Below are 18,821 nucleotides of genomic sequence, written 5' to 3'. Positions count from 1 at the left end.
ATCTAATAGCAAAAGAAACCCATTAAGGTGAGTTCAACATTCAGCCCACTTCATTTTTCCTTGGGACGTTTGCTATACCAGGCAGCAAGAGAGGGTGACCAGATAAGGGCTGCAGAGCTTTCAGCAATGGTATAGAGCTTGAGAAATATGTTAAAGTCTGGGGTTCCTGAATTATCCAAGATACAAGGGCAATAATCTCTAGGAAAAGAAAGGATAAGAGAAGCAAGCCCTAAACTTTGAGTTTCCCCTTCAAAGAATTTGCCAAATTCTTGAACTACATAGCACAGGAGGTCAAGAAATCACATAGGTAAAGTTTTTGGTTGTATCATCTTACTTCCTAAAACATTTATATAACTTTGGAATATATTATATTTATATTGGAATAAATTATATTTACATTTTAGTTTAGAAAGAATTTATGGAATAAATTATATTTGGAATAAATTATATTTACATTTTAGATTAGAAAGAAGGTATTGATAAATTTAACAATTCCAGATAATATTGACTGGCAACAGATAATTCGTAACAAATGAGATTTGTCACAGTAGATATGTAGCAAGTCCATAGTAAAGATGTACTGAAAGTTGGAGTTAAAACAAAACAAAACTGAGTAATGTATGAAATCTGCTTCTTACTGGCTATGTGATCCAGAGTAAATTAACTTGAAGTTTTTGTAGCTCGTAATTTTCAGTGGCCAAGTGTACTTTCTAAATGCACTGATAAAGTGTAGAATGAGCAGAGTTCCTAGCTGGTTGAAGCACTAGTTCGTTCCTAGATGGTACAAAGAAAAGAAAAACAGAGGGTTTACAAGAGGCTCTGCAGAATGTGGCTAGAAAGCAGAGCAGAGGATTTGACATTGCTACAGTGAGGAAGATATTTTGAGCTCAGGAACCTACAAGGAAGAGGACTCTGTAAACAATGCAGGATCATAGTTGGGAATACCAATACAACGTTTACTAGCAGTGGAAATGAGCCAGATGTATAGTGAGCCATCTGGCCTTATATTACCCAGCCTTAAATTACCTCCACCCCTTATGGGATTAAAATGATCTGCCCTGGTTCACTGACCACAAAAGGGTAGGAAGTAGCTTCTCTGAGCAAGATAAATTCATAGTGTTGGTCTAATTTCCCACACCAATCATCTGGCATTATGAGTGAAAATATATCCCAGTTCTTTGTTAGTTAATTTACAATAAGATTTCAAGGACATGGTTACCACATATCTGTAAAATATAGTGGAAATAAACCCAAGCAATAAGAACTTTAGTTTCAAGAAAATTAAATTGAGCTGTTTATTGCTATTGAGCTCAAACAGAATAATTCTAACAAAATGCTTAATTTTAGTCAGTAGGTGTGGTTCATCTTTTTAAACTGAGTGATATTATAATAAAAGTGATAAAATAGAAAATTCCACAAAGTTGATAATAATTATTTAAAATAAAATCTATTAATAGAGCAATTTTAATTTCCCAGATTGAGGAAAATGGTCACAAGATTTTTAAAAGTTTCCAAGTACCAAAAAGAATGATAAAAGGCTCATATAAATACACATCATTGTAATATACCAAACATCACGAATGATTGAGTCAGAAGTTTTCACAGAGGAAAAACATATTTTAAAAAAATTAAACAACTAAAAAACCACGTACTATTGAATGAGATTCATACAGAAAGCTACATGAGTAAAATGCTCAAAAGATGGTGATGCAAGGCCTTCGAAATTCTGAAATTCTATCCCCAGACAAGCTATCATTCAAGTGCCAGGGCCACATAAATGTAGTTTTAGGTAGCAATAATGTATGCAATTTATTTTGAAATACATCCTTTTGTGAGGAAATTACTTAAGCATATAATTCAGCAAAATCCAAGGAAGAGAAATGCATAGCAACAAGAAATGATGAAACATTCTGAAGATTTATGTGGAAAAAAAAAATCCCAACTAGGTAACAGGCCTAGAAAACAGCTAGTTGAATTTAAGTTAAAATATCAGTGGATTCTAAGAATATCTTAAAAAGAAAAATGAATTCTATTTTTTAAAATGAAGAAAAAGATTAAGGAGTGAATGATATTAGTAATATAATAATAAAAGTATTTGAGTCCTCTATGAACAAGCAAGGCAACTTTTAGAAGTAGCACATTTATTGCTGAAGTGTCAGGTAAAGTAAAATGTGGAATGATTTCGAACAATAAGTGTAAATAAAAATCATTTAATTCATCTAGATGTTAGGAATATTTTATTGATCCAAGGTTTGTCACAGTGGACTAAATTTGAAGAAGTATAATTTACACACATCATTCTAAACAACAGTTACACAATGTTTGTGTGTGTATCTTTCAAATAATGGAAATGTTTATTAATTTGGTTATCACACTTAGAATAAGCCTAAAGAAAAAATTAGGAAGGCACATTGTTACAGAATAAAATATGATTTTATCAACTTGATGTGAATTAAAATTAAAAGGACAGAACATGAAAGTTCAAAGGAAAAAAGGAGAAGTAAAGTTAAAATAACAATTTTACTTTAATGCTTTTGTAATAAAAGTGTCAGGAATTGTTGGCTAGGAAACATGGGGACTATGCTTATGGTCCGATTTTTCCTGACTCTTTGTAAAATGGCCTATCCCAATGAATGAACCATAATTTAAATGTTATCCATGCTGCTTTTCTACCAGAACCAGAAGTAAATATGTGTCTATACGAGGTGACAAGTACTTAAATATGAAAATGTCTTATAATTTTATTGGGAGCTAAGGTAGCATTGGCAGGTAAAGTTCCTAGGGATATGAGTAATTGACAATGTATACTCTTGGAACTGAGACAAACGGGATTTGTTCCAAAGGTGCTCAGAGACTGGCTCTCCTAATTAAGCATAGAACTGAAAGGAATCAGTATTTTTTTATACTTAATATTTCTCTATAAGTCACGAATTCAGTGATCAAATACTCATATTTTGTAATTAGTCTTAATGTGGGCATGTTTTTAAAATATGCCATGTGTTTTTTTATACTTAATATTTCTCTGTAAGTCATGAATTCAGTGATGAAATACTACATATTTTATAATTAGACTTAATGTGGCCGTGTTTTTAAAATATGCCATGTGTAGTAGTCAGGTTTGTCTAGAGGGATAGAACTAATAGCATATATGTATATATGAAAGGGAGTTTGTTATGGAGAATTGACTCAGACGATAACAGGTAAAGTCCCACCATAGGCCGTCTGCAATTTAAGGAGCAAAGAGGCCAGTGGTGGATCAGTCCAAGTCCCAACACTTCAAAACTAGGGAAGCCGACAGTGCAGTCTTCAGTCTGTGCCCAAAGGCCCGAGAGCCCCTGGCAAACCACTGGTGTAAGTCCAAGGGTCCAAAAGCCAGAGAAATTGGAGTCTAATGTTCAAGGGCAGGAAGCATCCAGTATGGGAGTATGATGAAGGCCGGAAGACACAGCAAGTCTGCTTATTCCACCTTTTTCCACTTTTCCACGTACATTTTCTAGCCCTACTGGCAGCCGGTTGGATGGTGCCCACCCAGATTGAGGATCGGTCTGCCTATCTCTGTCCACTGACTCAAATGTTAATCTCTTTTGGCAACACCCTCACAGACACACCTAGGAACAATACTTCGCATCCTTCAATCCAATCATGTTGACACTCAATATTAACCATCACACCAGGCATAACAACAAAAGTTGCAGTTATCCTCCAATGTGAGAATTGAAAGCATTTTAAGTGGCATATTTTTATTAATTGTAATAATGTATTTCAACAGGTGAATAGTTAAACAAATTGTGGTTTGTTAACTTCAAAGAACAAACTATGGGCCAGGCACTGTGGCTTACACCTGTAATCCCAGCACTTTGGGAGGCCGAGGTGGGCAGATCACTTGAGGTCAGGAGTTCGAGACCAGCCTGGCCAACATAGTGAAACCCCATCTCTACTAAAAATACAAAAATTAGTCGGGCATGGTGGTGCACATCTGTAGTTCCAGCTACTTGGGAGACTGATGCAGAAAAACCACTTGACCCTGAGAGGCAGAGGTTGCAGTGAGCTGAGATTGTGCCACTGCATTCCAGCCTGGGCGAAGAAGTGAGACTCTGTCAAAAAACAAAAACAAAAACAAAAACAAAAAAACTACCTAGTATTATAGCCCATATTTGTATAGCAAATGATAGGTGGCCTTCTTCTGATGCTGCATATTATAATGCAAACCAGGATTTAAAATAGTGGGCACAATTTATATAAATAGCATTTAAATTTGGTTGAAATTTGGAAGTAAAATTAACCACTAAAATCCCTTTTTGCTATTTCTGTAAGAAATATTATTCTTAGAAAATCATCACTGGCCATCAGAGAAATGCAAATCAAAACCACAATGAGATACCATCTCACACCAGTTAGAATGGCGATCATTAAAAAGTCAGGAAACAACAGGTGCTGGAGAGGATGTGGAGAAATAGGAACACTTTTACACTGTTGGTGGGACTTTAAACTAGTTCAACCATTGTGAAGGTCGGTGTGGCGATTCCTCAGGGATCTAGAACTAGAAATACCATTTGACCCAGCCATCCCATTACTGGGTATATACCCAAAGGATTATAAATCATGCTGTTATAAAGGCACATGGACATGTATGTTTATTGCAGCACTATTCACAATAGCAAAGACTTGGAACCAACCCAAATGTCCAACAATGTGCACATATACACCATGGAATACTATGCAGCCATAAAAAATGATGAGTTCATGTCCTTTGTAGGGACATGGATGAAACTGGAAACCATCATTCTCAGCAAACTATTGCAAGGACAAAAAACCAAACACTGCATGTTCTCACTCATAGGTGGGAATTGAACAAAGAGAACACATGGACACAGGAAGGGGAACATCACACATCAGGGACTGTTGTGGGGTGGGGGAAGGGGGGAGGGATAGCATTAGGAGATGTACCTAATGCTAAATGACGAGTTAATGGGTACAGCACACCAACATGGCACATGTATACATATGTAACAAACCTGCACGTTGTGCACATGTACCCTAAAACTTAAAGTATAATAATAATAAAAATAAAATAAAATAAAAATAAATAAATAAATAAGAAAGTGAGCATAAAAAATAAGCAAACAAGTAATGTGAGTGCAGCTTGATTCCTCTTTAGAAACTTAAGGTCAGTCACAGCTTTATGTATGATGTTCTTAACATTTTCCTGAAACTGAAGTATATTACATTATGTTGGGTATCATTTGTGTGACATATTTGTCTGTTCAAAATATTTTGTGTTAAAATTTTAAAATAAAAAAGGAACACATTAAAACATCATGCATAAATAGTGGAATAATTCTTCAGTGATTTTATCTTAATTCTCCTTAGGAGTGTTTATAGAAAATACAAAGCTAACAGCAATGTATTTACCTGTACATAGTTGTTCAAATTGTCACAAACTAAATGGAAGCAAGCCTTATGTTTGATGGATTAAATATGTCAATATGTCACATGTATTAATGCAGTGGGCAACAGCTTCCTCTAGAGAAATCTTGTGCTTCCTCTCAATGTGCCCCTCTTGCCGCTACACACACACACACACACATACACACACACACACACACACACACACACACACACACACCGAGAAGAGATAGAACTATATTGCTGTCTATTTAACACTTAAAGAAAATGACATTTTTCTTAAATAAGTCTTTTAAATCTTACAAATCTTTAAACACTTTGTATAGTCTGTATTCAATGTGTGTAAAGTACAATCAATTGGAACCTGTTTAGTATTTCTGACACACTAAGAAGAAACAGTAGAGAGAGATAATTTAATTTCATATAATTGTATTAACAATGTTTGACAAAATTTTAAAAGTGTTATTTTTCAGAAGTCAGTTCATGTTTCTTTTGGCCCAGGAATGCTTTTCTTTCTTGAAACAGCAAAACTGTCAAGGAATAAAAAGAGTAGTCTATTTAGTTCTTCAGCGCCTTACCTAATCAATTAAAAGCAAAGTCCCTTGTGATAGAATAGTCCCTAAAGTTAAAAGTAAGCACAAATATAAAAATGATTTCATTTCAAATTGTAATTCATTCTTGAATCCTTAGAATGTTTTTCTTTTAAATGTATTGAGTCCATCCATACCTTTCTTAAGTGTTTGCATCCTTGAATTTTTCAACCCCATTTATTCAATGTTTCTGAAGAAATTCCCTTGGGAATTCAAATATCAGACTATCTTTCTGCATTGGGGGAGGGTATACATTTTGAGAATCTGCAATTCTTACTTTATTCTGGCAATTTATTCTGTTTTTAGCTTAGAACTAGTGACAGAAAAGTTAAACAAAGGTAGAATGAAGAAATGGCAGCACTGCTAAACTCCCAATTCAGGTTATCTCTGTGTGGATTCATTGTTTGGTGTGAAAGAATGGCCAAACAGCAGGCGTGCACTCATATGTAAGCACACAGACCTATAAAAAAAACACATTCAAAAATGAAAAGAAAAAAAAAGCTTTCCTGCTGCTATGGCTTAACTTCAATAGTTTTTTACATAAAGAATTAACTGAATGAGGCTTCATAAGAGTTGAGAAGAGGGTAGTTGGGGAAGATCGATAGATAAGATGTTGATGTCTCGTCTGATTTTTGATGAAGATATATTTGAAAGTGTACACAGTGTAATACATAGTGTTGTATCTTCATGTATGTATCTGGAATCCAGGTGAGGTTTGTCTTTCGGTTTTACACAATGCATTTCTCAATTTTTTAATGTTTTGAACCATAAATCCATTTCTAATACTGAGCTTCCCTTGTTTAGAATTTTTGGGCAATAGGCTTAAAGGAAAATATACAATAAAATATATGTTTTTCCAAGACATATTTCCAATAGGTTTTGTTAAAAAAAACAGTTTTAGGATGCAATATGCTCAAATAACTAAAAATGGACACATTCCATAAGGGAGGAGAAAAATGCTTTATATTTCTCCTATCTATCTTACTAACAGATCAGTATATTGTTTGAGGTGACGATACATTGATCAAAACATCTACATTTCAATTTCCTTTTTGAAAGGTGTTTTCAATAACATGTAAAGCTGAAGTTACTGGGTCAGTGTCAAGAACAGCTCTTTTTATTGGACATGCTCAACCAGTATATGTATGTTTCTTTTGCCCTCATCTCTTCCTGTCTTCTGCTTTCTGGAGCCTATATAGTTTACCTGGAACTGAAGTAGCAATGTTGTAATTTAAAGGTAGAAGCCATTAAGAGTGGCAAAGCAGCAAGAATCCTGAGTCGTTAGTGACCACAAACTTCCAAAACAGCCCTGAGCTTTCTATCTCAATCTCATTTGAGTCGTTTTATTACTCTTTAGTTTTTTTGAATTACTTATGTTTCTACCCTATCTAGTAAAGACAGTCATCATGATGAGGAAAACAACATGTAATACATTCTGTTTGCAGCGATCTTTCTTTGGTAATTATAATCAATCGATTGCATTGGGTGTTTCCTATGAATCATTCACTGAAAAGGCATGGCTAACTGCCAAGTTACATTCATCAAATATTTATTGAGGCTGACATTGCATTAGATACTGGAAATATATGACAATATAAAAAAAAACCATGGCTGGGAGCAGTGGCTCACGCCTGTAATCCCAGCACTTTGGGAGGCCGAGGTGGGCGGATCACGAGATCAGGAGATCGAGATCATCCTGGCTAACATGGTGAAACCCCGTCTCTACTAAAAATACAAAAAAATTAGCCGGGCGTGGTGATGAGCCATGGAGCGTATGTGGGACCTGTGGGAGACAGACTGACACCTCTCCTTGAATTGGCTGAAGCTTGATGGAGGTGTGGATGAGGCACTTAGGGTCTTTGCTCCTTCATTAGCCCAAGGATGGCAAGGGCAGTTCCACTGCATAGGCAGTGGCAGAGAGGCTTTGAATTGCCCCTGGAGGCTCTTTCCAGGGAGTTGCTGAGTTGGTACTGTCTTGATAGCTCCTTCAGGGGTGGCTGGAGTACCAGACCTGGAGGACCTGCCTGCTGAGGAGACATGGAAACAAGCACCTACGTTATACTCTGTCTACTTTTCCATAGGGCTACTATGCTATGCTTGGGGCTTGCTCCATTCCCTAGTCACCTCAGATTTTCCAGAACCTGGAGGCATCACCAGTGAAGGTTGCAAAACAGCAAAGATGATAGCCTGTCCCTCCCTCTGGGAGCTTTGTTTCAGGGAGGTATGGACCTGTTGCCAGCCTATAAGCATGTATAAGAAATGGCTGGAGACCCCAGTTGAGAGGTCCCCCCCAGAGAGAAGGAACTTGACAGGAACCCACTTAAAAAAAGCAGTCTGGCCATATTTTGGTAAATCAGCTCTGCTGCGCTGGGGGTCCACTTCAGCCCTCTGTCACCTCAGGCACTCCAATGCTCAAAGGCTCGAATGGTTAAGTCACCCAAACAGCAAAGATGGCGACCTACCTTCTCCTCTAGGAGTGCCGTCCTAGGGCAATTCAGATGTCTGATGGCTGGAGAGCTCAGGTGGGTGTGGCTGAAGGCCTTGACTGGGAGGTCCTGCCCAGGATTGAGTGCCTGCTTAAAGCAGCAGTCAGGCCACATTTTGGTAGAGCAGCTGTGCTGTGCTGGGGGATCCCATCTGCCCTGGGTTGGCTCAGGCTCTCCAAAGCCTGAAGGCTGGAATGGCAAAGGCTCCTGAACAGCAAAGATGGGAGCCTGACCCTCCTTCTGGGAGATCCTTCTTAGGGGAGTGCAGTGCTGCTACTGGTAGCTGATTGTAATTTTAAGCCAGTGGGTCTAATCTTGTGAGGTGCTCTGGAAATGCAGCCTATGGGCTTTTGCTGCTCAGCCCCCTGGATTCAGCCTCTTGCCTGGGGTTATGTACAGGAGTCTAACCTTCTACTTTGCTAGAGCAGCAGCTACTTTTGCCAGAAAGTCGAAGTATCTAAGGCTCCATGGTTTCCATGCACACCTGAGCAGCTGCTCTGCTGAGACTCCATGTAGCTCTGTCTGACAGACTGAAGATTGAAGGCCCTAGTGGAGTGGGTTCACAAGGAGATCTTTTGACCCTAGGGTAGCAAATATCTGTGGGAGAAGCATAGTTTCCTGGGGTGGCTCATTCATTTATGGCTTCCCTGGGCTGGGGAGGATCCCCTGACTCCATGTTGCTGCCAGGTGGGCCATTGTCTTGTCTTGCTTTGCTTCATTCTCTGTGGGTCAAGTTGTTTCTGTGATTAATGTCAATGTGAGTACATGGGTGTTTCAATTGAAGGTGTTGTATTTACTTGCCCCTTTTGTTCCTCTCCGTGAGAGCCACAAGCACTAGCTGCTTATAGTCAGCCATCTTGGCCACTTTTATATTTTTTTATAAGCCCTTTTAAATATTTACTTTTATAAGCCCTTTTAAATATTTTGGAAACTTCTTGTTAAAGAACTTAAAATCAACCAGGTTAAACTTGGGCCTTAAGGTGAGAGAGTAACCTCAAAAGTTTACTTGTGAAGACTTCTTCTGAACTCCTTTATGTCTCTCCAGTGTACACACACTATCATGTTCACTCTATGAGGAACCCAGGATTCTTCTATTTGGTTATTCCACTGTGTAGGTCTTCTAGTTCCAAGCCACAGTATCTTTATAACCTGTGTTATTTCCAAAGAGTCATCAATAATGATATCCTTTTATGTTGGATTCTTAAAATTTGTGTCTTCTGTCTTCTCTGCTTGCCAGTTTAACCAAAATTTATCAAAGCTTTTATCTGAAAAGTGAGTCAACTTTTGCTTTAATTGATTTTTCTACAATTTTATCTTTCTGTTACTATTTTATTGTTCTTCTATAGAATCTTTATGGTTTCCTTCTTTTTTTCTTGCTTGGAAATTAGATCAGCCTTTCTTTGTTAGTTTCTTAATGTGGCTGCTTTGGTTATTTTAAATCATTCTTTTTGTTGAATATAGGCTTTCAAGCTAAACATTTTTTAAACACTGCTTTATTTTCATTCATCTGATGCAAAACGTCTTCTAATTTCCCTGGTTATTTTATTTTTCTCTTGGTATTTAATCAAGCCTTGACTTCCCTTTTACTTGATTATTTCTGAGTGTCAGACATTGTGGATAAAAATTATAGAAGTAATTTGAAGATATAAATTATGTTATGTTCTTTAAGATGATTTACTTAATATCTGACTGAAATAAAGAATAAAAGCACATGAAGCAAAATGAACTCTTCTGTTATTTATAAAAGCTAATCTGGAGATTGTAACTTATATTAGTGGACAAGAACTTCAGAATTAAGCCAAATTTATCTACTCACTTATTAATATATTCAATGTTCAAATGGGGACAAGCATCTTTACAGGAAGTAGAGCAGAGGAGAAGTTGCAATATCTAGATAAAGGCTTTGTCCCCAGAAGATTTTAAAAAATAAAACCAAAGTGCTGCTCTATGTACTGTAGCCTAGAAGAAACATAAGAAAGAGCTACCAATCTAAGATTTGGAAAAGATTAAACAGAGAAAGGAAAAAGGCCAAAGTTTGGCGTACTTGAGGAAAAGAAAAACTATTGTGGCAAGAGTGTCTTGGATACTAAAATTTGCTCTGTGTGTCTTTGTGTGTGTGTGTGCATGTGTAGGTGTGTGTGTATATACTATAAGATAGAATATTAATCAGAGAGGCTAAGATAAATAGTTTGAATTGTAAATTTTCATATAAATAATGTAAGTGTATGGAAGTTTCTCAGAATGTTGCTGATCTCAGATCTGTCTGTGGTAAGAAAACATATTTTTATATATGTTTAATACAAAGACATTTAGAAGATTGAGTGATCAAATTTGATTGGAATAATCAAGGAAAAACATGTATCTTTATAAATTTTCATTTGAAGTAGACCTTTTAAGGAGGCAAATATTCTTTTCATTCTTTAAAATCTATCTGAAATATCATTTCCTAATTGAAGCTACTCTGATATCATCATCTTTGTGCTTTCTACCTTGCCGACATAGTTTATTCTACTATTGCCCACAGCTGATTCTTTACTATCTTCTTAGATAATAGTAGCCCTATATGAGCATTGCCTGCTCTTAAAACTACTCTATTTCTGGCACTTTTTGCATAGGGGCTAAATGCACAGACTCTGGAGGCAGACTCTCTGGTTTGGATTCATGTGCCTTCATTTGCTATGTAACTTGGACAGATTGTTTAACCTCTTTGTGCTCCAATTTTTTCATCTGTACAATAGGGATAACAATAATAACAATAATACCAACTTCATAGGGTTGTTTTCGGCATTAAATGACATAATGCATGTTATCAGCATAAAGCAGCATCTGACAGATAAATGTGCTCAAATAAATATTAGCTCTTTCTCTCTTTCTCTCTGTTTTTTTTTTTTTTTTTTTTTTTTGAGATGGAGTCTCACTCTGTCACCCAGCCTGGAGTGCAGTGGCACTATCTCAGCTCACTGCAACTTCTGCCACCTGGGTTCAAGCGGTTCTTATACCTCAGCCTCCTGAGTAGCTGGGACTACAGGTGTGTGCCACCATGCCTGGCTAATTTTTGTATTTTTGTAGAGATGGGGTTTCACGATGTTGGCCAGGCTGGTCTCAAACTCCTAACCTCAAGCGATCCAGCTACCTCGACCTCCCAAAGTGGTGGGATTAAAGGCGTCAGCCACTGAAACTGCCTTTGCAAAATTATGACTGAGAAAGTGAAGGGGATCTAACCTAACCGACTCCATCTTTCTACTAACCTCCAAGCTGTCCTTGTTCATTCCTGGGCATAGGCTGAACTAACTTTGGGAGGAATTTAGTTTATAGTTTATCATTTAAAACAAAGACAATAACAGCTCTTTCCCAAAACAAACCTCCTTCTTACCGGGGAACTCAACTGCCTTTGTAGGACTAAGAAATTAGCCACAAGATTAGAAATTATGGTTTAGGAGTCACGCAGCTAGAAGATTCTGACCCTCCCTAAACTGCTCCCAAGAGCAGTGCTTGAGATATTTGGCAGACCCTGCACTTGATGTATCAGCTGGAACCACCCAGATTGATAAACTGGCTCATCTGATCTTGTAGCCCCCACTCAGGAACTGACTCAGCGGGAAGAGACAGCTTTGACTCCCTATGACTTCATCCCTGACCAATCAGCATTCCCAGTTTGCTGGCTTACCCTTACCCACTAAGTTGTCCTTAAAAATTCTGCTCCCCGAATGTTCGGGGAGACTGATTTGAGTAATAATAAAACTTTAGTATCCCACACAGTGGGCTCTGCATGAATTATTCTTTCTTTATTGCAATTCCCCTGTCTTGGTAAATCAGCTCTGTCTAGGCTGCAGGCAAGGTGAACCCATTGGGCGGTTATAACATTGCACCTGAAAGCTCTTTCTCTTATGATTGCTGCTATATTATATTTTGAAGATGTCATCCACTCGATTGATTGGCTTGATTAAACAATTCTCTTATAAAACATATGAAGTGATTCCTACAAAGACTTCTACAACATAGTTCATCATCCAAACAAGGATAATTTTATAAGTAGAAGGCTCTGCTATTAATAATTACATTCAGATAACAGTTAAAAAGCAGAAGTATGTTTATCCTATTATTAGGCCATCCTATTATAAACCCATCATTTCAGTAAATGTCGACTTTTAGTTAATGTATCTGCAAATATTTACTCAAACAAAGTTTTAGCTTCTACTATCTGTTCTCACACCGCTATTGTATCTTGCCTGAATTATAACATTCACTTCCCAACTTTTTTTTTTTTTTTTTTTTGAGACAAGATTTCATTCCTGTCGTCCAGACTGGAGTGCAATGGCACTATCTCAGCTCACTGCCATCTCCACTGCCTCCTGGGCTCAAGTGATTCTCCTGCCTTAGCCTCTCAAGTAGCTGGGACTATCACAACTGGCTAATTTTTACATTTTTTAAGTGGCAGGGTTTCGCCATGTTGCCCAGGATGGTCTTGAACTCCTAGGCTCAAGCGATCCACCTTCCTCGGACTCTCAAAGTGCTAGGATTACAGACATGAGCCACCATGCCCAGCCACTTCCCAACTTTAAAAACATCAGAATATTATTTCAAAATGTAAATTAGATAATATATTTCCATTTTAAAAACACTCCAGCAATTTCTGTTTTCTTCAAACACTTTGTAACTCCCAGGACCTAGTATATAGTATATGTGTACTTCACTGTCAGTATCATAGATTGGTTTCTATCATCATCACCACATCATCATCATCATCGATCATTTTCTGTGTACCAAGACTTAAGTTAATATTTTAGGTACAATTCCCTTTAATCCACATAAAACTTCATGTACTATCCTTATGAATGAAATGAAGAAGCTGAAGTTTAGAGAGGTTAGACAACTTGCCTAATATTATACAACTTATGAGAGGTAGAGTCAAATTTCAAAACCTGTTAGTCTGACACCAAAGCCCTTGGCAGTGAATATTAAGTTATATTGTCTTGCTCATTAATCTATTGATTAAAATAAAAGTGAACTCGCATACAAATATTGAAAAATAAGTGCCTTTCCTTTCTCTTATTTTGTTTTAGCCTCATTTCCTGACACCCCTCCCATTTCACTGAATACACTGTAGCCATTCTGATTTTTCTTGTCTTCATACTGTAATGTTTATCTTCTTTCTAGGTTTTCACATGTGCTGATGTCCTCCTGGAGTGTTTTCCCTACTGAAAATTGCCTGGATAATACCATGAAGTGACTGGCTTTGATGATATTTCCTCTATTATACTTTTTATTCTCTGTTCCTCTTTTATCAGGCACCTCCCTTCTGTTTTCCCAGACACAGCATTATCACTGTCCTTTAAATATCAAATTATTTGTATCAGTCTTGTGCTAGATAGTAGGTATTATCAAGGCATACCTTGCACAGCACTGAATTAGCAGAGTGCCTGCTGGCACATAATAGACACCTGAGAATGTGAAAGAAAAATTGCACTTAGAGTTAAACAGGCAAGGAAGATTTATAAGATTAGTAGTGTATTTGGCATTTATTACAAAGAAGGGGAGATATTGAACTGAACTCTACTGAAACACAAGGTGGTAGGATTGTTCGCAAATTAGGTGAACTAGTGGAAAGTATAATTGTCTCTCTGTATCTGCAGGTTCCTCATCCATGGGATTCAACCAACTGTGAATAAAAAATACTTGGAAAACAAAAAAAGTAACAATGCAACAATAAAAATAATACAAATAAAAATACAGGATAGCAACTATTTACATAACACTTACATGGTATTAAGTAATCTATGCCAGGGAGGTGGCAAAGTACAGGCATTGGAAAGTGGTTGACGCAAGGGTTGGTAAGAAGAATTTATCAACATCAGTATAGGTTTAAAAAAGGAAGGTTTTGTTAGAAAGAACACTGCAGAAGAGTGCAGTGGGACGCTTCAGCAAGAGAGGACTGAGCATGCCATGGTGGATTTTTCTTTAGAGGTATATATGGACCTTAAAGCGGGAGATTAAGAGTATTTTGGACCATATTAGCCATGTAGGTCATGATAAATGATTACATTTGTAGACATTTTGGTGCCTTAATGTCAGTAAGGGTTGCACAATGAGTTTTGATAGTCATGCATTCCAGAGATGTATAGAAATTCTAGTTACTATATGTTTTTTGCAAAGAAACCTGGAACAAGATGTGGGCTTTAAATAACAGTATAATTACTTCTGAATTCCACAGATAAAGAGTTTTGCCTCTGGATGGTCACCAGGTAATTTTGGCTCTCCTCAATCTAGAGATGATTTTTAAGGGACTTGAGCATCTACAAATTTTGGTATCTGTGAGGTTCCTGGAACCAACCCCAAGAAACCATTCTACCAGAGGATATTAGTGAGGGGATTTGCCAGTGTTATCAGGCCATCTGTGTTTGCTAATATTGCTCATCTAAGTTAGGCTTATACTCTCCCATAGAGACTGGGAGATAAGGCCATTATTTTTCTTTATGTTTACATTTCAAAGGGATGTATCTCTGGATCCTAGAGAAAGACTTTACTGGGTTGTAAAACTAGCAAGGTGCAGAGAGAAGATTTACATCTCAAAGGGGTAGAAAAATAATAAAATAACAAGTGTTCTGAAATAAATGTTCTAAGTAAAAAGAGGTTAGGGGCCTAGAGTCAGAAAGAAACCTATATATAGTTCAGTCAAGCAGAGGGAATGTTAAGGGCTTCCTGATCTACATTTATATTTGTTGAGTTAATGGATAGTTAACTAGAAAATTCAAAAATATTCCATAATACAGTATAAAAATCTTGACATGTAATAATGGAAAAACTATTATGACTATGCATTTATATAATTTAAATAAACTGGGGAATAATACATAGCAGTTAAAATTTTAAATATTCAAATGAATTTTTCTGAATACATTTTTACATTTTCCTAACTCATAAAAAATAAAATAACATTATTATAATATGGAGGTTCACAGGTAGAGTTTAATGTTTTAATTGAACATCTTAGTTCTGCATTTGCTAAAACTTCTAAGAAATTACTGATGACTTTGAAGTACATTGCAAATCAAGTAACACTATAACATAGTAGCTAAATAGACCAGAAATAATAATTTTTATTGCCTACTAACTGAAGTTCTTTCATATTTTGAATGGTGTTTAATGTGGTTTAAATTATTGCGGCTATAAAGGAAATACATCCAATCTAATTAAACCTGTGTAATTTCAAAGAAGGTAAATTTAGTAGCTATATTTATATCCCCCAAAGTGTCATTGGATATGGTATTGGTAATATTTTCAAAACATTTTGCTTTTATTTCTTAAACATTTAGGGTACTGTGAATCACCTCATATATAGGACAACAGATAATTTAGCTAAATTGATCATATTGTTTATTCTCTAAGTTACATGGCTTATTTCTTTTTCTTTCCAGCATCATCCATGTCTCTCCCAATTCCAGATGCCCAGCCATTTTGCATGTTTATGGAGCTTAATCCCAGACTTGAATTTCATTAACTGACCATAGCCTTAGTTAAGTTTCTACAGCAATGAGTTCATTGGGCTGAAATTTTGCAAAGATATTGGGGGAGAGAGAGGGGTAAACATCATCTACATTTGAAAAGACCACATTTACAAATCAGGACTCTTTAATGCAATTTTTTTCCCCTTGACTAACTGGGAGTTTATTTGCATGCATTCTAAGTGACAGTGGAATGAGAAACTAAGATTTTTGTCATTTTAATTTAACACAGACTCACCCAGAAAGCACAGCCCTGATTCTGCGTGAGAAAGGCTATCTCTACAGAAACTAAAACGTGAGTCCTGTTGATTTGTGTTACTGAATTTTACTATGCTATATAACTGTCCTGGTAATATGATATGGCATTTGTTAAGATATATAATGAGATAGTCTTGATTAAGTGCAATTTCTGCATTCTTATAAGGAATACAGAAAGTGAGAATTGATATGTTTGTTTTACTGTTTAGTTTAAAAGAATAATAGATACTTAACTCTGAAGAAGATAATGTATTTGTGCTATTAACTGATATTCAGTTTAAGGCATATGGTTTTACATGGTTTTGCTATTCCAATGTATTTATGGTTGATAAAGTGTGTAAATAAGATCCCTCACAAATAAACATTTTCCATGCCTTTTTTTAACATAATTTAAAAATCTCTGTGACTAATATGCCTAAATACTTAGGACATATATTTATTATCCCAGTTTTTCTCTTGGATTTTCTAAACAGAATAAGCTATCAGTTAATGATGAAGCTTGGTTCACTTTTCTTCTTTGCTCTGTCATCAGTCTGTCTTTTGGCTACTCGCTAATGGTGGCCATCTCTGCTCACTGTTTGGCCTGTGATAAGTTGTCTTTGATAGCCTGCTGTTTTGTTCTTGAACCCTGCCATGGCTACAACTCTGGGATAGCAGAACTGTCAAAAATAAAAGTAAAAGAGCAAGAGGCACAGAGCCTGTGAAAGTTAGAGAGGACGTAAGGCCTGATAGTTGAGAGAGAGGGGTAAATGATGAATTTTCAACTGGAAGATAGTTTTCACTTTATACCATTTGCTGTCACATTACCTGAAATAATAAGGGGAATTTTTTTCCCCAATAATGGCCAATGGGGGCTGTTTGCTTTGTGAGAATCTGCTAAGGAAACATGCCATGTGGCTTTATCTTTGAAAGTGAGGGTGAGACAAGTTTGCCTGGCTGCAGATAAGTGACTTAGAAGGAATCCTATTCAGATGTACCTGTCATTAATTTATCAGGAGGTTCTGTCATTCATACATACTACTCTGTGTGCGATAGAGCATTATATTGGTTTCCTCTGGGAGCAGGTCATATTCAGGGGTCGTCAGACTCATGCTATTGGATGATGTATGCTTGTTTCATATAGCCTTTTTCTGCTGGTAACTTGAACATATGTTAGATGATCCCTTGAAACATTTCAACAGCAAAAGGATTCACAAAAACTTGACTATCACTTAATATGCAAGTGTTTGTAACAAAAAAAATGTTAATCAACCTGTCCTCTTTTAGCACAGTCATTTATTCTGATAATTAAGTAGTTATAGATATGTTTCAATTTAATGGCCTAGCTCTTGATGGATGCACTTTCATAGCTCCTTTATTTATTTAAACAAAAGGATATTTACTTAAGCTCATTAATTTACACTGAAAAAATGCAGAGCTGCTTTGAAGCAAGTCTCACACACACACACAAAAAAAAACCTTTAAAAAGTAAAGATTTTTCCCAATTACGATATGGCTTTTTACTGTGGAAATTTTACTTGATTACTTCATATATTTTGAAAGACAATGGCATGTGTTGTAAAATGAGATAGATATTGGTTTGAATTCGAGAGGAATATAAAAGGAAAATATGCTTATTTTTGTGTGCTTAGATTGTCTTGAGTGACTTGAGAGATTTGGGGCTTTTTTTTTCTTTTTTTTTGAGAGATACTTGGCAAATACCAAAAAAAGAAAAAAAAATCCGTTCTTCATTTTATTATTTTCATGATGGAGTGTGTAAAACTAAAACCTAATATCTTTCCTTGAGTTTTAAGTGTGCTTCATTCTGTGCAAAATTAAGCCAATAAATGGCAAAGTGGCAGTTAAATGAAAGCAATCAGTAAAATCTTTCTAAAGTATTTTTAGCATGCCGTGACAAAAGTCTTTACTGTGGGTAAATGAGCAACATAAACTGATTTTTTTTCTATTTTTATAATTTAAAATTGTTCATTATATTCTGTATTGCAATCCAAAACAAATGAGATAATTTCATGAAGTAGCAAAGAAAGACTCTTCCAAGTAGATACAAATGATGCCTTTACGCTGCATTTACATGGTATACTCTTTTAATTTTGTCCCAGTTGTGTAAATGTGGAATACTCAACATAAACCAGAATTTTCTTATTGATGAATTAAAGCATAATTAGGGCATTACTGTAGGGAACCTATTAGACCTTTTGTGTTTTTTATGTTTTTATAAATACTATTATAAATATACAACCTATTAGGTTGTATTTGTTAGAGACATTTACAAGATTTCACAAACATTTGCTGCTCAGATTATAGTGGTAGTTTTAAATAGTTCTATCTTTCGTAAATTTTCCTCTGCTCCACATGTTACATTAGGTAGTCAGGCAGACATGAGCAAGGCAGGAGAGGCCCCTCCCTACCAACCACCAGGAATGCCAGGAGACGATCAGGTTATGATCAGGCAGTTGTTAAACTGTCTCTCTAAAAGAATTATTGGTTGCAGCCCATGCCAGGGAAAAGCAGTCTCCTAATAGATAGAAACACCAGAAACTGGTGATCAGCAGTTTCCTAATAAGATCTCAGAAGTTGAG

General features: G+C 36.3%; 1 protein-coding gene across 3 annotated transcripts in view; it reads left to right on the top strand.

Moving 5' to 3' along the window:
- MGAT4C (MGAT4 family member C) overlaps nucleotides 1-18,821 on the top strand; it is an 883,334-nt gene that overhangs the window by 488,657 nt on the left and 375,856 nt on the right. For all 3 annotated transcript variants that reach the window (NM_013244.5, NM_001351286.2, NM_001351285.2), the window contains one exon: nucleotides 16,217-16,279. The gene's annotated coding sequence lies outside the window, so the exon portion shown is untranslated. The remainder of the gene's footprint in view (nucleotides 1-16,216; nucleotides 16,280-18,821) is intronic.

Source organism: Homo sapiens, chromosome 12 (assembly GCF_000001405.40).
Source record: "Homo sapiens chromosome 12, GRCh38.p14 Primary Assembly".
Classification (NCBI taxonomy): Eukaryota; Metazoa; Chordata; class Mammalia; order Primates; family Hominidae; genus Homo; species Homo sapiens.
Note: the sequence above shows the minus strand (reverse complement) of the source record. Positions and strands in the feature narration are given on the sequence as shown.